The sequence below is a fragment of the Homo sapiens genome, chromosome 1 (genome assembly GCF_000001405.40).
Source record: "Homo sapiens chromosome 1, GRCh38.p14 Primary Assembly".
Classification (NCBI taxonomy): Eukaryota; Metazoa; Chordata; class Mammalia; order Primates; family Hominidae; genus Homo; species Homo sapiens.
This window is the reverse complement of record NC_000001.11, coordinates 92720354-92739929: the sequence shown is the minus strand read 5'-3', so window position 1 is coordinate 92739929 and position 19576 is coordinate 92720354. Positions and strand designations below refer to the sequence as shown.

Here is a 19576-nt window from a genome sequence, read left to right as displayed (position 1 = left end):
CTCTCGGTGATGGCACAGGTACCCATACTCATAGTTCCTCTTTACCCACAATAGTACCCTTTACCCAGGGGGGAATATTATACTCTAGAAATGTGATTCAGTTTCACAGTATGATTCAGGAAGTAATTAACCATAGCCATGTCCTTTTCTCCCTCATGATTTTTTGATCTAAAATCAGAATCTTTAAAAATAGATCTATTTTAGGGAAGTTAAGAGCATCCTTTTAATAAAATATAAAGTGATATAATCATGTCTGTTTCTCATGGGAGATTGTATTCAACTATTGTAATAGTATGTAACGCTTTTACTACACTTAAAAAATTGAGATATAATTTATATACCATAAATTTGCTCCTTTTAAAGTGTATAATTCAGTGGCATTTATTATATTCACAAGGTTGTGCAACCTTCACCACTGACCAATCCCAGATTATTTTCATCACCCCATAAAGAAATCCTGTACCCATTAGTAGTCATTTTCCATCCCTTTTCCCAGGCCCTGGAAATTACTGATCTACTTCTGGATTTGCCTGTTTGGAACTTTTATGTAAATGGAATCATACAATATGTGGCCTTTTTTGTGTGTGATTACTAAGCCTTTTTAATGATGGTTTTAGCATTTTCAAAGTGTGTTCGCTTTTTTTTTTTTTTTTTTTGAGACGGAGTTTCGCTTTTGTTGCTCAGGCTGGAGAGCAGTGGCGTGATCTTGGTGCATTGCAACCTCTGCCTCTCGGGTTCAAGTGATTCTCCTGCCTCAGACTCCTGAGTAGCTGGGATTACAGGCGCCCGCCACCATGCCCAGCTAATTTTTGTATTTTTAGTAGACACGGGGTTTTGTCATGTTGGCCAAGCTGGTCTCGAACTCCTGACCTCAGGGTGATCTGCCTGCGTTGGCCTCCCAAAGTGTTGGGATTACAGGTGTGAGCCACCGTGCCCGGCCAGTATGTTCACTTTTTAAAATAAATGCATAACACCTCTATGAGATAGACAGGAACTTTGTGACATATTTACATTGTCAGATTTGTTTATATTTATTTATGTGACCTCAATTTACCCTAGGTTGAGGAAAAGAGATTCAGAGGTGGCAGGGTGGAAGTTTGGAAAAGTAAAATTAAAGGAAAAATAGTACCTGATGATATATGAAAAAATAATTTAGCCCTGTGGGATTTCTAGATTCTATGAATATTAAACTTTATTAAATTGCAGATGCAATTAAATACTCTAACTATATTTAAGAACTTAAAACTTGAAGTTCAGTCTTTAGTAGTTATAGGCTGAATTCCATTTCAGTGAGGTCTAAAGCATGTCAGAATTGTGCTTTTGATTATTTCAGACTCTTTAAATCGAAGCCTGTTGCTACAGTGTGCAGAAGGGGTATGATATAAATTTCTTTTAATAAAGCAATTAATAGGTGTCTTTTGCTTTTGCAGCAATTAACTTACTGAGTAGGGGAGTTTAATATAATGAAAATGTAAAGCATTAATTATTGAAAATTGTAAGTATATTTGAAATTATTGGTAAAGTGTACCATTTTTTTATAAATTTTATACATTAGGTTTTCTTCCGTTTTTCTGTAAATTTTATACATTAGGTTTTCTCTTTTTAAATATTAGAGTGTGCTTTGGGGATGCGAATTTGTGCCATTTTCACAATTGAGTTTATAGTTGTTATCCTAAGATCGATAGGATAACAAATCACACAGTAGGCTATCTTAGTGCCTACTATGGCTTCTGTCATTTCGTGGCACAAATAAAGTTTTGGCTAAATTATTATTTGGTTCCTATACGGCCTTTTGCCCTGATGAGCTGTTTTCATCTATGAGTTGACAGGAAGGACTTCTTTTGCCTGGAAGCAGGCATAAACGATCACCTCATGCTTCTCTTTCTTAGGTCTCTTATGCCATTCAACTTTTCTTTCTTGGGATTCGTCTCTCAACGGTAACAGCCCACTGATCCTTTCTATAATATCATTTCTAAAGGAAGTAAGTTCTAAAAGGGGAAAATTATTGGCAAATGGAAAGAAAATGAGAGGCATCTTGAGTTTAATAAAACTCTTGCCCCTATTCAGCACTTGTAATGGAATCTTTGTCCTTTTAGATGCTCCATCCTCAGGTTAAGTGGCTTAACTATGTCCTTAGAATTGCTTTTCCATTTTATCCTTTCCGTACATGGAATTTCCCTGCTAAATTGAAGTGGAGGAAGTGGAGACAGAGAAAAAGCCATGTATATATTGAGGGCAGGAGGAAATGCTTGGGTAACCAATGAGGAGAGTGGTACCTACTACCAGGACCTGGACAGGATTTTTTTTTGTGTGTGTACATATGTTCATATGGATTGCCATATATAAACCAGTGTTAGCTTTGAACAGTATGTACATTTTCTTTTTCAGCTGAATTTGTTGTATACATATCTGCTTAGGAGGTTGGCATGGTTTATGACAAATATGTGAGCATATGTATAATTCGTTGAATCTTAGAAAAGAGAGGAATCTTAAAGGCTTTTTTCTTCCTGGTTAGCCACCTAAAACAGAAACTTAACCCTTAACCAACGCTTGACATTTGGCTTTTACAATTGCCACATTAACGTAGCTATTGGTAGAGAATGTACTACTCTTTCCTAGGCATCCCATTCTATTTCTGAATAAGCCAACTATTAGAAATTCTACCTTGAACCCCTCTCATTCTATTAACCCAGCCATTTACCATAATTTTGTTCCTGGGGTGCTAGTCCCTCTTCTATAACAACACTCTTTAGTGGTTTGAAGAGAGATCAATCAAGGGCCTCACTACATTTTATTTATGCTAAATACACCCAGTTTTTGTTGAATTGTTAGTCATGTTACAGGATTTCCCTGATCATCTAATGGACATGTTTTAATTCCTTGACTTGCATATGTTTTTGACTAAAACCCCAAGAATACATTTTACATCCTCACTCAATACACCCATATACATACATACATGTAGGATGTATTTTTAAAATAACAAAAATTTCATTAGACAGCATATCTTTAATTTGATATTTTTGCTCTTTTTCATTTTTGAAACATGCTGGTTGATTTTTGTCACTCCTGATGGGTCTCAGTTTGGAACACTGTTCTGATTTGTTCATGCTGCAGAACTGAAATAAACAGTTTGCAAAAGCTGGATATTAGGGTATTGTTGCTAAAACAGGTTTTACCTTTACTTCCTCAAAGAGAATATTCTGATGATGGTTATTAAGTAAATCCTAACAGAATTATTAAGTTCTCGGTAATGAATACAGTGTAACTAAAGTATATGCAACTTTTATTTTTGTCCTTAGGTGGCGACAGACAAAGTTGCAGAAAAGCTGAGCTCTACTCTCTCATGGGTGAAGAACACAGTATCGCATACAGTCAGTCAGATGGCCAGTCAGGTGGCAAGTCCATCTACTTCATTACATACCACATCCTCATCTACCACACTATCAACACCAGCCCTTTCACCATCTTCCCCATCACAGTTGAGTCCAGACGACTTAGAACTCCTGGCTAAACTGGAAGAACAGAATAGGTGAGTGAGGTTGCTTAGCTTTTTTCTCTCCAATTATACAAATCCAGCCATTCATATTTACTTACACTAGAATTTTTTTTTCTATTTTTTGGTTTCTTATTTATCAAAGTTATTTACAGAAGTGTTCATCTTTTTTGGGGGGAGATTGGTCTTAAAAGAGACTAACATTTTCTTCTGGCTCAAATAGCTTTAGAGATTTGTTTTCTTAATATAGCAAATTCCCTAAATCCTTCTTGAATTTTATCAATTTTTTAAAAAGTAAATGAAACTATAACTTTATAATTTTAAACTCTCTGAACAGTCTCCTTTGGTAAAAGCATAAAATAATTTAATCCAGTATAGATATCTGATTTGTGGTTTAGAGTGCAAAATCTTTTCATAAATTATTCATAGAAAGCAAAATATCCTTTTCTCCTAATGGTATTAAATAGAATAGTTTTCTGCTCTGCTAGGAATGCATATTCCGGACTCCGTTTGTTTCCTTACCATGTTATTGTCAGAGGCTCTTTAGGGCATCATCTCTTTTATATATTTATTTATATATATATAATATATATTATAATAGATTATATTATAATAATATATAATATACAAAATATATAATATACTTTATAATATGTTATATATAACATATATCATATTATATTTTAATATGATTATATTATATTATATTATATATAATATAATATTGTATATTTCAATCATATATATGTTATATATAATATATTTTGTTGAATTATATAATTATATATATATATGACATATATCATATATCATATAATTATATATAATACATAATATAATATATACATTATATACATATGGAAGAGCACCCTTTTGTGCTCAGTCAAGCTATATAATGCTACTGGCTTAAAATCATAACAAAAATAACTTTTAACAGGTTTTTTGATGTATTGTTGTAATCAACTATGCGTAAACTGTACAATTTGATACATTCTGACATATGTATACACCTGTGAAATTGTCGCCAAAATCAAGAAAATGAACATCTCCATTATCCCCGTCGCTGTCCCCAGGCAGCCACTGTAGTTTGCATTTTCTAGAATTTTGTAGAAATGGAATCATACAGTATGTAGTTTTTTTGGTATGGATTATTTCACTCAGCATAATTTTGAAAGTCATGTTATAGCACATATTGATAGTTGATTCCTTTTTATAGTATTCCATCATGTGGAAATAGCACAGTTTATTCACTCACCTGTTGCTATTAAATGCCATAAACATTTGTGTTTAAGCCTTTGCATGGATATATGCTTTCATTTCTCTTGGAATGGAATGACTGGATCATATGGTAGGTATATGTTTAACTGCCAAACTGTTTTTCAAAGGGCCTGTATTTTTGATATCCCGCCAGCAGTGTATGAAATTACCAGTTCTTCTACATCCTTGTCAACACTTGGTATGATCAGTCTTTTTAGTTTAAGCCATTTTATTAGGTATTAGTATCTCTGGTTTTAATTTGCATTTCTCTGTTGGTTTTGAGCATCTTTTTATGTGTTTATTTGTCATCTGTATATATTCTTTGATTTTTAAAAAAAAATTTGATTATTTGCTTTCTTATTACTATGTTTGGAGAGTTCTTTATATGTTTGGGGTAAAAGTCTTGTATCAAGCACATGACTTTCAAATTCTTCCCCCAGCTGGCAGCTTACCATTCTCTTAAAAGTGTCTTTCAAAAAGCAGAAGTTTTATCTTATTTTATTTATCTTTGAGCATTCCAAGTTTACTCCTTTAAGTAAATCTAAAGCCACTATACATGTCCATGACAATTAGAATAGAAAAGAGACAAAGGATAAATAGAAATATTTTCTGTTGGAGGTGGAGCTTGCAGTGAGCGGAGATCATGCCACTGCACTGCAGCCTGGGCGACAGAGTGAGACTCCGTCTCAAAAAAAAAAGAAGAAAAAGAAATAGTTTCTGTTCTGCTTATAGTAGTATTTTCTGGGTGTCAATAGAAAACATCAGTCAAGAGCATTTATCTGAATTTGTTGGTAAAATGTAGTTACTTTCGGCAAGTGTTTTGCTTTGGTATTTATACACGGACCGTAATGAAGTTGAGCTATCCCATCTTTCTTCTCATTTGTAACACATTCATACAAACAAAAAAGATGAATCCTACTGGAAGTGGGTCTTTATCAGAAATATGCCCCAATGCAGTTAAGTGATACCAAGAAAATCATTCTCTCATCCTAGGCCTAACATTCTTCATGCAAAAATTAGGAGATTGAATGAATATGATCTGTAAGTTCCTACAATTAATGTATATACATCAATTTATACATCATGATGTAGGTAGACAGCGAGGCTATACTTTCCGGCCCCCATGATGCTAGGCGTGGCCATATAACTTGCTTAAAGCAAATATGGTACATGTGTCTTGTAAGAGAAAACTGAAGTTTCTTTCATCTCTTGCTTCCTCTGCCAAAAGAATGACAGTGTCCCAAAAGGGACTTTGCTTCACTTTTGATCCTGGAGTGAAGATGACTTGGAGCAGTGCTACAGCCAGTCAACAGCTGACAGTACTCAACAGGAAACGCACCTTTGTTGTTGTTAACTGCAGCATAACCTAATGAAAGCTAATTAATTATAATAATTTGCAAATAATTGAGGATCAGCACATAGTTAAAACACAAACACTCAAATTTAATAGAAAGCTGATAATGTAGACCGGGTGCTGTGTCTCACGCCTGTAATCCCAGTACTTTGGGAGGCTGAGGTGGGCGGATTGCCCAGTCTCAGGAGTTCGAGACCACCTTGGGCAACATGGTGAAACCTCATCTTTACTAAAATTAAAAAAAAAAAAATTAGCTGGGTGTGGTGGCGCGTGCCTGTAGTTCCAGCTACTCGGGAGGCTGAGGCAGGAAATTGCTTGAGCGTGGGAGGTGGAGGTTGCAGTTAGCTGAGATCATGCCACTGCATTCCAGCTTGGGCTATGGAGTAAGAGTCCGTCTCATTTAAAAAAAAAAAAAAGATGATAATGTAAAATACGACATCAGTGGAAATAAGTTAAAAAGCAACTTTTAAGAATTAAAAAAAGAAATTGTAGTAAAAGAAATTGACTTAACCATGTATGTAGAATTTTCCTTGTGATTTCTGGCCCGAATCCTTGAATGACTATTCCAAGTAAGATTCAACATTTTTACAAAATTATCATTCATCATTAAGATACTCCAAGATTTTATTTCCACCATTTTATAAAGGACAATCCAATTTAGCAATCCAGGTTTCCAAAGTAAGTTCTAAGGATAAGGCTTCTCCTGAAGTAATGTGACACAACCTTAATTTCTTAGCTGTTAATTTTTTTTTTCTTTTTTTTTTTTAAATAAAATGGAGACGAGGTCTCACTGTATTGCCCAGGCTGGTCTCAAACTCCTGGTCTCAAGTGATCCTCCTGCCTCGGCCTCCCAACATGTCAGGATTACAGGTGTGAGCCACTGTGCCTGGCCTGTTAGTGTAATTTTTTTTTTTTTTTTTTTTTGAGATGGAGTCTCACATGTCTCCCAGGCTGGAGTGCAGTGGTGCGATCTCTGCTCACTGCAATGTCTGCCTCCTGGGTTCAAGCAATTCTTCTCCCTCAGCCTCCCAAGTAGCTAGGATTACAGGTGCCCGCCACCACGCCCAGCTAATATTTTGTATTTTTAGTAGTGACGGTGTTTCTCTATGTTGGCCAGGCTGGTCTCAAACTCCTGACCTTGTGATCCGCCCTCCTCAGCCTCCCAAAGTGCCAGGATTACAGACGTGAGCCACCGTGCCCAGCCTATTGTCAAAGCTTTAAGACTGGCCAGAGAAGTGGCAAAGTTTGTGACCTTTCTGATGCTTCATCCATGGAAAAGAACATTGGTTTGCCCTTCTCTTTGCTCCCCTTAGGTAAGAAAACTTGAAAGCAAATAGTTTCTCCCTGTGGCAGTGATATATCTCCATCAGCATATATCCTCAATTTCAATGCAATTCCTTTGCAGCTGTTTCACTATTTTTTGTCACCTTTCCCTTCTTTGCTTGCTGTCTCTCCTGTTTTGGAATCAATGTCTTTAACAAGTTACTGAGTGGCAGTCATGTAAGGCTTTGGGATTTCCAGTTTTTCACACTTGTGATCTGACTGATGATGGTGTCTCAGGCAAAAATTATTCTCACAGTAAGGACGTATAACTGCCACAAGTTTTTCAACACGGTCCTTGAATGAGCATGGGTAAAATTTATGTTTATGTCTTCAGTCTCTCATTGATTACAGTCATCTCAGGACAACCATGAGACTGCCGCCAGCTTTTGTATTCAAGGCAAAATATTCCTGAGTATCACACACAAATGAAAGAAAATCTGGCAGTGCTGCCCAGTGTTCAACTGTGCCATCTCTCTCGTGCCACTAAAGAACAGAAATTTTAAATTTTGATTAAGTTACAATTTCAAATTGTTCTTTTATGGATTGTGCTTTCGGTGATCCAAGATTATACCGTTTCTCTCCTATTTTTTTCCTGAACGTTTTATAGTTTTAAGTTTGACATTTAGCTCTGTGATACATTTGGAGTTCATTTTTTGAATATGGACATCTAATTATTCCTGTACCATTTATTGAAATGGCTGTTCTTTCTTTACTTAATTACTTTTGCATTTTTGTCAGATATCAGTTGTCTGTATGTGTATGAGTCTATTTCTGGGCTCTATTCTGTTCTGTTGGTCTACATGTCTATCTTAATACTAGCACTATACTGCCTTGATTATTGTAGGCTTATACTGAGTCTTGAAATCAGATAGTGTTAGGCCTCCACTGTTGTTCTTTTTTTGGCCTATTTTTGGTCCTTGGCATCCCCAAATGAATTTTACAATCAAGTTGTTAATTTCTACAAAAACGCCTGCTGAAATTTTGGTTGGGATTGCATTAAATCTCTAACAATATTGCCTTCCTCCCCATGAACACAATGTATTTCTCAATTATTATTTGTCAATGGTATTGTTTTTGTAAACTTCATTTTTAATTTTTCATTGCTGGCATATAGAACTACAATTGTCAACACCTTCTGTGTTAAAAAGAAAATACAATTGTATTTCTTTTTTTGTTTTTTTGAAATGGGGCCTCACTCACTCAGGCTGGAGTGCAGTGGTGTGATCTCTGCTCACTGTGACCTCTGCCTCCTGAGTTGAAGCAATTCTTCTCCCTCAGCCTCCTGAGTAGCTAGGATTATAGGCATGTGCCACTATGACGGCTAATTTTTGTATTTTTAGTAGAGATGGGGTTTCACCATGTTGGCCAGACTGGTCTCGAGCTCCTGACCTCAAGTGATTTGCCTACCTCGGCCTCCCAAAGTGCTGGGATTACAGGCCTGAGCCACTGTGCCTGGCTCTACAATTGTTTTTCTTATATTGATTCATGTATCCTGCAGCTTTGCTAAACTCAGTTATTGTTTTGGTAGTTTTTTTTGGTTTTTGTCTAGATTCCATTAGATTTGCTATGTAGATGAGCCTATCATCTGTGAATAAGAGCACTTTTGCTTCTTTCCAATCTGGATGCCTTTTATTTATTTTCTTGACCATTGCTACTAACTGGGAACCTCCTGTATAAATTTGAATGGAAGTGGTGAACAGACATACCTGTTCTTTTTCTGATCTTAAGAAGAAAGCATTAAGCTTGATGTTAACTGTATTTTTTGGATATGGCCTTTGTCAGATTGAGGAAGTTCCTTTTTTTTTTTTTTTTTTTTGTGAGAGAAGGTCTTGCTTTGTCACCAAGGCTGGAATGCAGTGGCATAATCATGGCTTGCTGCTGCCTTGGTCTCCTGGGCTCAAGTGATCCTTCCACCTCAGCCTCCTGAGTAGCTAGAATTACATGCATGCACCACTACACTTGGTTAATTTTTTTTTTTAATATTTTTGTAGAGACGGGGTCTTGCTTCGTTGCCTGGATTAATCTCAAACTCCTGGCTTCAAGGACTTGGGTTCCCAAAGTGCTGGGATTACAGGCGTGAACCACTGTGACCAGCCGCTTTCCATTTCTTTCTTTCTCCATTTCCTTCTTTCTTTCTTTTAGAGATGGGGGTCTTGCTCTGTCACTTAGGCTGCTGTAGTGCAGTGGCACAATCAGGGCTTGCTGTAGCCTTCTCCTGGGCTCAAGTGATTCTCCAAGCCCTGCCTCCTGGGATTACAGGCACGTGCCATCATGCCTGGCTAACTTTTGTACTTTTTTGTAGAGATGGGGTTTTGCCATATTGCCCAGGCTGGTCTTAAACTCCTGGGCTCAAGTGATCCTCCTGCCTCTGCCTCCCAAAGGCTGGCATTACCGGCATTAGCTATTGCACTTGACACCTCTTTCTATTTCTTGTTTGCTGAGAATTTATGTAAAACAGATTTTGGATTTTGTCAAATGCTTTTTTTGCCTCTACTGAAATGATCATTAATGGTTTTCTTCTTTCAGTCTGATAATACGGCAAATTACATTGATTTTTCAATGTTAAACCGACTTTACATTCTTAGGATAAACCCCACTTCATCATTATATCTTTTCTTTGTAAAGTATTGGATTCAATTTGCTAAAATTTTGTTTGTGATACAGTCTGCGCTCCATATCCACAAGTTCTGCATTTGCAGAACCACAGATGGAAAATACATTTTAAAATAAGAAATAACATACAACAATAAAAATAATACAAATAAAAAATACATATAACTATTATATAATGTTTACATTGTATTAGGTACTAAAAGTCATCCAGAGCTGATTTAAAATATAAGGAGGATGTGCATAGGTCATATGCAAATACTATACCATTTGATCTAAGGACGTCACCACCCACACATTTTGGTATCTTTGGTATCTTTGGTATCAGGGAACCAATCCCTGAAGGATATGGAGAGTTGAATGTATTTGCATCTGTGTTCATGAGGGAAATGGATATGAAGTTGTCTTCAAAAGTCCTTGACCTTTATCGGTAATATGTTGTCACCTTGTAATGTCTGTGTGACCTTTCTTTTCTAATAAAGTCATTTAGTGCTATATAGTAGTCCCCCCTTATGTGTGCGGGATACTTTCCAAGACACCCAGGAGATACCTGAAACTGTGGATAGTTTCAGACCTCATTGTCATCAACTGAAACGTATTTCTGTTCATGACTTCTACTCACAAATTTAATGCTGTTTTCATCTTAATTAAGCATTTATCATACATTGTGACCATAACTTTTGTAGTTTGAAGTGCAAGAATAAAATCAGTATGAATTTATTTTTCCTTCACAGTTTCACAGATAGAAGATTTATTCTTACCATAAATCTTAGCAGCCTCAGCATTCAATTTTGTTTGTTTCCTTATTAAGTAGAGAACTTTCACCTTCTCACTTGAAGGAAGCACTTTAACAGCTTCCCTTTGACATATTCAAATTGCCAGCATCACTACTTTTGTGGTTTGGGGCCGTTATTAAGTAAAATAAGGGTGGGTTGAATGCAATCACTGTGATATCGCAATAGTATATCTGATAACTGACTCAGATGGTTACTAAATATTAGCCAGCTGGTAGCACATACAGCATGGGTACACTGGGCAAGGGGATGATTCACTTCCCAGGCAGGACGGAGTAGCATGGCATGAGATTTCATCGTGCTGCTCAGAATGGTACACAATTTAAAACTTTTGAATTATTTACTTCTGGAACTTTCTGTTTAATATTTTTGGACTACAGTTGATTGTGCATAATTGAAACCATGATTCGCTGGGCCCGGTGGCTCATGCCTGTAATCTTAGCACTTTGGGAGGCCAAGGTGGGCGGATCACCTGAGATCAGGAGTTCAAGACCAACCTGGCCAACATGGCGAAACCCTGTCTCTACTAAAAATACAACAATTAGCTGGGCATGGTGGCGGGTGCCTGTAATCCCAGCTACTCCAGAGGGTGAGGCAGGAGAACTGTTTGAACCCAGGAGACAGAGATTGCAGTGAGCAGAGATCGCGCCTCTGTACTCTGCACTCTAGCCTGGGCGACAGAGCGAGACTTTGTCTCCAAAAAAAAAAGAAAAAAAAGAAACCATGGCAAGTGAAACTGTGGATAAGGGGTGACTATTATTGGTACATCTTTGTTGGCTTTCTGTTTACATGTTATATCAGATATTGAGAGAAGAGCAGTAACTTCAAATTATAATTGTGGATTTATCTATTTCTTTTTAAATTCTGTCTTTCATGTAATTTGGAGTTCTATTTTAGGTATATAAACATTTAGGATTGTTATATCCTCTTGTAAAATGACCTTCTTTATCTTTGGTAATGTTGTTTCCTTGGAAATCTACTTTATCTTATATTAATATAGTCACTCTAGCTTCCTTTTGAATAGTGTTAACATCTTATATATTTTCCCAGCCTTTTGCTTGTATTCTATTTTTTTTTGTTTATCTTTAACTTTTTTTTTTTTGAGACAGGGTCGCACTCTGTCACCCAGGCTGGAGTGCAATGGTATGATCATGGCTCACTGCAGCCTTCATCTCCCAGACTCAAGCAGTTCTTCCATCTCAGCCTCCCAAGTAGCTGGGACTACAAAATTTTATTATTTTTTTAAGAGATGGGGTCCCACTATGTTGCCCAGGCTGTTCTTGAACTCCCGGATTCAAGCAATCCTCTCACCTCAGCCTCCTAAAATGTTTGGATTACATGTGTGAGCCATCATACCTAGAAAAAATCTTTGGAGTTTGTCTGTTAGTAGCATTTAGTTGGGTTTTGCTTTTAAAAATACAATCTGACAATCTTTGTCTTTTAATTGGGTTATTTAAGCCATTTTATTTTTTTAAAAAATTAAAGTTTTATTTTTTGCTCACATTTACATTCATCTCAATTAGTAGGTTGGATACATCTTTGCTTTACTGTGCTTTGTTCTGTGACCGCAGCCGGCATCTATCTGGGATAAATCAGACTCATGACAGACAGAAAAGAGATCTAGTTGAAATACCTTAAAGCATCCCCTAGGGAGTGGTATACATAATTTCTACTTAAATTTTATTGGCCAAAGTAAGTCAGATGGCCAAACCTTTTATGAGCAAATCTAGCAGGGATGGATCTAAAATTCACACTTTTAAAGGGTACAGTTTAGTGGTTTTTAATATGTTCACAAATTTGTGCCATTATTACTACTATCCAAACTCCCATTCAGAATATTTCCATCACCCCAAAAAGAAACTCTGTACCCATTAGTCTCCTCATTCACCTTCCTTCCAGCCCCTGGTAACCACTAATATATTTTCTGTCTCTATGGATTTGCCTATTCTGGACATTTCATTATGATGGATACAATAAGTGGCCTTTTGTAACCGACTTCTTTCATACAACATAATGTTTTTGAGATTTTTGAGGAAAATAGGTTATTTACATTTAAGGTGATTATTAATATTGTTATATTTAAACTTGTCTTATATTGTTTCCTTTAATTCTGCCATCTTTGACTTTATTGAATATTTTTATGATTTTGTTATAGTTCATTTATTGATTTATAAGCTATAACTGTTATTTTGGTGGTTGTGTTAAGATTTATAATATAAATCTTTAACTTATCAGTCTGACTTTGAGGGTTATACCACTTCACATGTACTGTAAGCACCTTATAATAGCACACTTGCATTTCTCCTGTCCAGTCCTTTGTACCAGTTTTGTCATGCATTTTACTTTTATATGTGTTATAAACTCTACACTACATTATTTTTTAACTCAACAGTCAATTATCTTTAAATGAGATTGAAATAATAAGAAAAAACTTTTATGTGTTTACCTATTTAGTTACCATTTCTAATGCTCTTCTGTCCTTTCTTTAGATCCAGATTTCCATCTGATATTTCCTTCTTGAAATACTTTTTCTTTAACATTTCATGTAGTTGGTGGTATTGGTGATGAATTATTTAGCGTTTGTATGTTTGAGAAGGTCATCATTTTGGCTTTGATTTTTACATATATTTCTTTGACTATAGAATTCTATTTAATAGGTTGACAGTTTTTATTTTCCAAATATTTTAATGTTGCGATTTCATTGATTTCTCTCTTGTGTTTTCAGTGAGAAATTCAGTGTGTTCCTTGTCTTTTTGTTTGTTTGTTACTCTCAAGCACATTTGTTTCTTTGTATATGTCTCTTTTCTCTGCTTTATCACTGGTTTTAAGCAATTTGATTCTGAGGTGTCATTGTTTTTTCCATGTTTCTTACATTTGTGATGTATTGAACTTCTTATGGATTTATAGTTTTCTTCAAATGTGGAAATTTTGGAGCCAATGTTTTCTTCAGATAATTTTTTGTCCCTTTCTTGCCTCTTCTTTAGAGACTCTAAGTACACACATATTAGGCCACTTGAAGTTGTTCCACAGCTCACTGATGCTTTGTTCATTTTTTGGAAAGTTGCTACGTATTCAAATTCACTAATACTGTCTTTTGCCATATCTAAGTTGCTATTAATCCCATCTAGTGTATTTTTTATCTCTCACATTGTGTTATAGTTTTATCTTTAGAAGCTAGAGCTGAGTGTTTTTTAATATGTCTCTATTAAACTTTTGAATATATAGGATACAGTTATAATAACTTTTAATGGGCTCTCTGGTCATTCTAACATTTGAGTTAATGCTGGTTTGCTTTTGATGGATTGATTTCCCCCCCACCTCATTATTGGTTATGCTTTTCTTCTGCTTTGCATGCCCGATTTTTTTTTTTTTTTAAACAAAATCTCACTCTGTCACCCAGGCTTGAGTACAGTGGCGTGACCACGGCTCACTGCAGCTTTGACCTCCTTGGCTCAGGTGATCCTTCGACCTCTGCCTCCCAAGTGGCTGGGACTACAGGTGTGTGCCATCATGCCCTGCTAATTTTTGTATTTTTTGTAGAGATGGGGTTTCACCGTGTTATTCAGGCTGGTCTCAAAGCCTGATAATTTTTTATTGAATACCTGAGATTGTGAATTTTATCTTGTCGTGTTTGACTATTTTCTATTTTCCTATAAATATTCTTGAATTTTGTTCTGGCATGCAGTTAAATTACTTCAAAAGAATTTGTTCTGGAGTAATACAGAACCTAGGACTATTATTCCCCCCTACTGAGGCGAGACCCTTTTGTGTACTCTTCCCAATGTGTCTTGAAACAGTAACTTTTCCAGTCTGGCTGGTGAGGATAGGTATAATTTTCTACCATGTGTGAATGTTAGCCATGGTTACATCTAATCTTTTCTGGTGGTTGATTCTCTGGCCATGGATAGTTTCCTTACATGAATGCATTGATCAGTTCCCAGCTGAATATTTGATGGAGATCTACCTATCTCTGAAGATCTCTGTATAGTTCTTTCATCTCTGGTCATGACCTGTGAACTCTAGACACCTTGGTCTCACTGCCATTGAGTACCTGAAATATGGTTTATCTGACTTGCAATGACTCTTCTCATCATCTCCTCAGTTCAGGGAGCACACAAGACTGTATCTCAATTTTCCCCACCTGTTATAGGGCCCTGAAACTGAATTTCAAGGTGGTTAAAATGGCAGTCACAGAGTTTACTTTACTTATGTCCCGAGTCTCAGGAATTCTTCTCCAATGCTGCCTGTTGTCTGAAGTCTTTATTTATATATATATTTATTTTTTTTAAAGACAGGGTCTTACTCTGTTGCTCAGGCTGGAGTGCAATGGTGCCATCACAGCTCACTGCATCCTTGACCTCCTGGGCTCGGGTGATCCTTCCACCTCTGCCTCCCGAGTAGCTGGGACTATAGGTGTGTGCCACTATGCCCAGCTAATTTTTGTACTTTTTATAGAGATGGGGTTTCGCCGTGTTGTCCAGGCTTGTCTCGAACGCCTGGGCTGAAGCAATCTGCCCACCTTGGCCTCCCAGGGTGTTGGAATTACAGGCATGAATGAGTGTGCCAAGCCTAAAGTCTTGAAAATCATTGTTCGATATAATTTAATGTATTTTGTTCAATATTTTTTGGTTTCAGGAAAGAGGGTAAAGCTAGTCTCTATTATTTAATCACGGCAAGAATGAAATAATTTTTCATATAAAGTTTTGTATTTTCCTTTGGCATGGTATCGGAGGAACCAGCCCCCAGTATTTCAACGTAGGTTCTTTTCTATTTTCCCTAAGTGTCGGCCGGTCTGAGAAATAAAGAGAAAGAGTACAAAGAGATAAATTTTACAGCTGGGCCTCAGGGGGTGTCATCACATATTGGTAGGACCTTGATGATGACCCCGAGCTGCAAAACCAGCAAGTTTTTATTAGGGATTTTAAAAGGGGAGGGGGTGGAACAGGGAGTAGGTCACAAGGATCACATGCTTTAAAGGGCAATAAAGATCACAAGGCAAGGCAAAATTAGAATTACTGATGAGGGTCTATGTCCCACTGTGCACGCATTGTCTTGATAAACATCTTAACAGGAAACAGGGTTCGAGAGCAGACAACCAGTCTGACTAGAATTTAACAGGCTGGAATTTCCCAATCCTAGTAAGTCTGAGGGTACTGCAGGAGACCAGGGCGTATTTCAGTCCTTATCTCAACCGCGTAAGACAGACATTCCCAGAGCAGCCGTTCATAGACCTACCCACAGGAATTGCATTCCTTCCCCAGGGTTATTCCTTGCTGGGAAAATAATTCAGCGATATTTCTGCTACTCACTTTCTGCAAGAAGAAAAATATGGCTCTGTTCTGCTCGACCCCGCAAGCAGTCAGACCTTATGGTTATCTTCCCTTGTTCCCTGAAAATCGCTGTTATTCTGTTCTTTTTCAGGGTGCACTGATTTTCTATTGTTCAAACACACATATTTTACAATCAATTTGTACAATAGTGATCCTGAGGTGACGTATATTCTCAGTTTACGAAGATAACAGGATTAAGAGATTAAAGTAAAGACATGCCTAAGAAATTATAAGAGTATTGATTGGAGAAGTGATAAATGTCCATGAAATCTTCATAATTTATGTTCAGAGATTGCAGTAAAGACAGGTGTAAGAAATTATCAAAGTATTAATTTTGGGAACTGATAAATGTCCATGAAATCTTCACAATTTATCTTCTTCTGCCTTGGCTCCAGCCGGTCCCTCCGTTCAGGGTCCCTGACTTCCCGCAACAGCATGGGAAGAAGTCTGAATAGAATTAGAAAAATTGATTTATATTATTTGACAATTAGATATTGGACTTAATATCATGTATAAATATATTGTGAATGTTACTTCTGCTTAGCTTTAAAAAAATGTACTGCTGAGGTAATTATTGAAGTAATTTTATAATTTTACTGCTGAGATTATTTTTACTTTAAATAGACCTGTCCTCAGACTTGGTCCCTTCCTATTGAGATGGAGACAGACAACAGTAGCTTGAAGGAAATTCACAGGGAACAGGATTAGGAACTATAGATTTTGAGTCTGGCTTAATTGAGCCCCAGGAATAGGACCTAATATCAACTCATGCAAACCTGGTGATAGAAAATACTGCTTTCTTATCATTTCTTAGGAAGCCCTTTTAAAGGTTTTCTTTGGCTCTCAGCACTCAGTGGGTAAGGTAGAAAGCTGGGTGTGCCACATAACTTTTTGTGGGTTTAGTGTGTGTATATGTGTTTTGGTTTTAACTTTTTACCCCTTTGTTTACTACATTTGAAAGATTTTGAGCAAATCCTCTGGTCAGAAGTTTTGGGAAGAGATAGTCTTTTAAAATAATATGTAGATTCTGAAAGTTTCTTGGATAAGATGAAATTAGAAGAGGATCTTGAAAGATCAAAGTGGAGTGTTAGGTTGTGTGAGGGCTGTTATGAGCAAATAGGTTCTCAGAAAAGGAAATGAAAGGGACTATTAAATAGAGCAAAAGGAGATATGTGATAGAAAAATAGTGGGAAAACCAAACACTGCATGTTCTCACTCATAGGTGAGAATTGAACAGTGAGAACACATGGACACAGGAAGGGGAACATCACACACTGGGGACGGTTGTGGGGTGGGGGGAGGGGGGAAGGATAGCATTAGGAGATATACCTAATGCTAAATGACGAGGTAATGGGTGCAGCACACCAACATGGCTCATGTATACATATATAACAAACCTGCACGTTGTGCACATGTACCCTAAAACTTAAAAGTCTAATAATAATAAAATTTAAAAAAAAGATATTGATCAAAGGATATGAAATATCAGTTAGATAAGAGGAATAAGTTCAAGAGATCTATAGTATAATACAGTTACTATTGTTAATAACAGTATATTATATTCCTGAAAATTGCTAAGAGAGTAGCTTTTGTGTTCTTACCACAAAAAAAAGTATGAGAGGTAATGAGTATGTGAATTAGCTTGATTTAGCCATGTGGTACATGATAAATATATACAATTTGTATTTGTCAGCATAAAATATAATTTTAAGTAATTAAAATAGTGGGACATGAAGTTGGGGCAGGACTGACAAAGTAAAGCACTTACAGACAGTGCTAAAGGGTATAAAGGATTTTTAAGTGTTCAGTTGGTTATTATATACAAGGATGAAGTAGTTTCCAGTAAAGATAACTTCTGGTATAGATTTTGTAAGTGACCAAAGTTGAATTTATTTTTACGGTTGTGATCAGTAATTACTGTGCAACTAAAATACACAAAGCGTTATATTAAAATTGTTGTAGGTAAGGTGTGGTTGTAGATGAATTGCTTATTCCCATACAATTCACAATTTACCCCAGAATACCAGATGTGTTTAATATATATGTTGACAACTAAGGAATAATTACTGGAGTTTTAAAAAAAATTATTGTTATACTTTAAGTTCTAGGGTACATGTGCACAACGTACAGGTTTGTTATATAGGTATACATGTGCCATGTTGGTTTGCTGCACCCATTAACTCATCGTTTACATTAGGTATTTCTCCTAATGCTATCCCTCCCCCAGCCCTCCACCCCTTGACAGGCACCAGGGTGTGATGTTTCCCTCCCTGTGTCCAAGTGTTTTCATTGTTCAATTCCCACCTATGAGTGAGAACATACAGTGTTTGGTTTTCAGTCCTTATGATAGTTTGCTCAGAATGATGGTTTCCAGCTTTATCCATGTCCCTACAAAGTACATGAACTCATCCTTTTTTATGGCTGCATAGTATTCCATGGTATATATGTGCCACATTTTCTTAATCCAGTCTATCATTGATGGACATTTGGGTTGGTTCCAAGTTTTTGCTATTGTGAATAGTGCCGCAATAAACATACGTGTGCATGTATCTTTATAGTAGCATGATTTATAATCCTTTGGGTATATACCCAGTAATGGGATCACTGAGTCAAGTGGTATTTCTAGTTCTAGATGCTTGAGGAATTGCCACACTGTCTTCCACAATGGTTGAACTAATTTACACTCCCACCAACAGTGTAAAAGCATTCCTATTTCTCCACATCCTCTCCAGCATCTGTTGTTTCCTGACTTTTTAATGATTGCCATTCTAACTGGCTTGAGATGGTATGGTATCTCATTGTGGTTTTGATTTGCATTTCTCTGATGACCAGTGATGATGAGCATTTTTTCATTTGTATGCTGCATAAATGTCTTCTTTTGAGAAGTGTCTGTTTATAACCTTTGCCCATTTTTTGATGGGGTTGTTTGTTTTTTTCTTGTAAATTTGTTTAAGTTCTTTGTAGATTTTAGATATTAGCCCTTTGTCAGTTGGGTAGATTGCAAAGATTTTTTCCCATTCTGTAGGTTGCCTGTTCACTCTGATGGTAGTTTCTTTTGCTGTGCAGAAGCTCTTTAGTTTAATTAGATCCCATTTGTTAATTTTGGCTTTTGTTGCCATTGCTTTTGGTGTTTTAGTCATGAAGTCCTTGCCCATGCCTGTGTCCTGAATGGTATTGCTTAGGTTTTCTTCTAGGGTTTTTATGGTTCAGGTCTAACATTTAAGTCTTTAATCCATCTTGAATTACTTTTTGTATAAGGTGTAAGGAAGGGATCCAGTTTCAGCTTTCTACATATGGCTAGCCAGTTTTCCCAGCATCATTTATTAAATAGGGAATCCTTTCCCCATTTTTTGTTTTTGTCAGGTTTGTCAAAGAGCAGATGGTTGTAGATGTGCGGTGTTATTTCTGAGGC

At 36.5% G+C, this 19576-nt stretch overlaps 1 protein-coding gene and 1 pseudogene across 25 annotated transcripts in view, besides 1 other annotated feature; one reads left to right on the top strand and one right to left on the bottom strand.

Annotated features, from left to right (window-relative positions):
• The window catches only part of EVI5 (ecotropic viral integration site 5), a 283715-nt gene that overhangs the window by 52481 nt on the left and 211658 nt on the right, over positions 1 to 19576 (top strand). For 24 of the 25 annotated variants that reach the window (XR_001737401.2, NM_005665.6, NM_001308248.2 and 21 more), the window contains exon 2: positions 3303 to 3532. The exons of the other annotated variant lie outside the window; for it this stretch is intronic. Coding sequence is in view for 23 of the 24 variants with exons in the window: in NM_005665.6 (NP_005656.4) it covers positions 3303 to 3532 (230 nt within the window). In the remaining variant the exon portion in view is untranslated. The remainder of the gene's footprint in view (positions 1 to 3302; positions 3533 to 19576) is intronic. 25 annotated transcript variants of the gene reach the window in all.
• On the bottom strand, positions 7312 to 7912 carry LOC100289500 (zinc finger AN1-type containing 1 pseudogene; annotated as a pseudogene).
• Positions 15627 to 16153: an enhancer, noted in NCBI's record as "OCT4-NANOG hESC enhancer chr1:93189334-93189860 (GRCh37/hg19 assembly coordinates)". NCBI's record gives its function as "activates a minimal SCP1, AML or CMV promoter by ChIP-STARR-seq in primed H9 embryonic stem cells {active_cell/tissue: H9 hESC(primed)}" and the evidence as "EXISTENCE:reporter gene assay evidence [ECO:0000049][PMID:30033119]".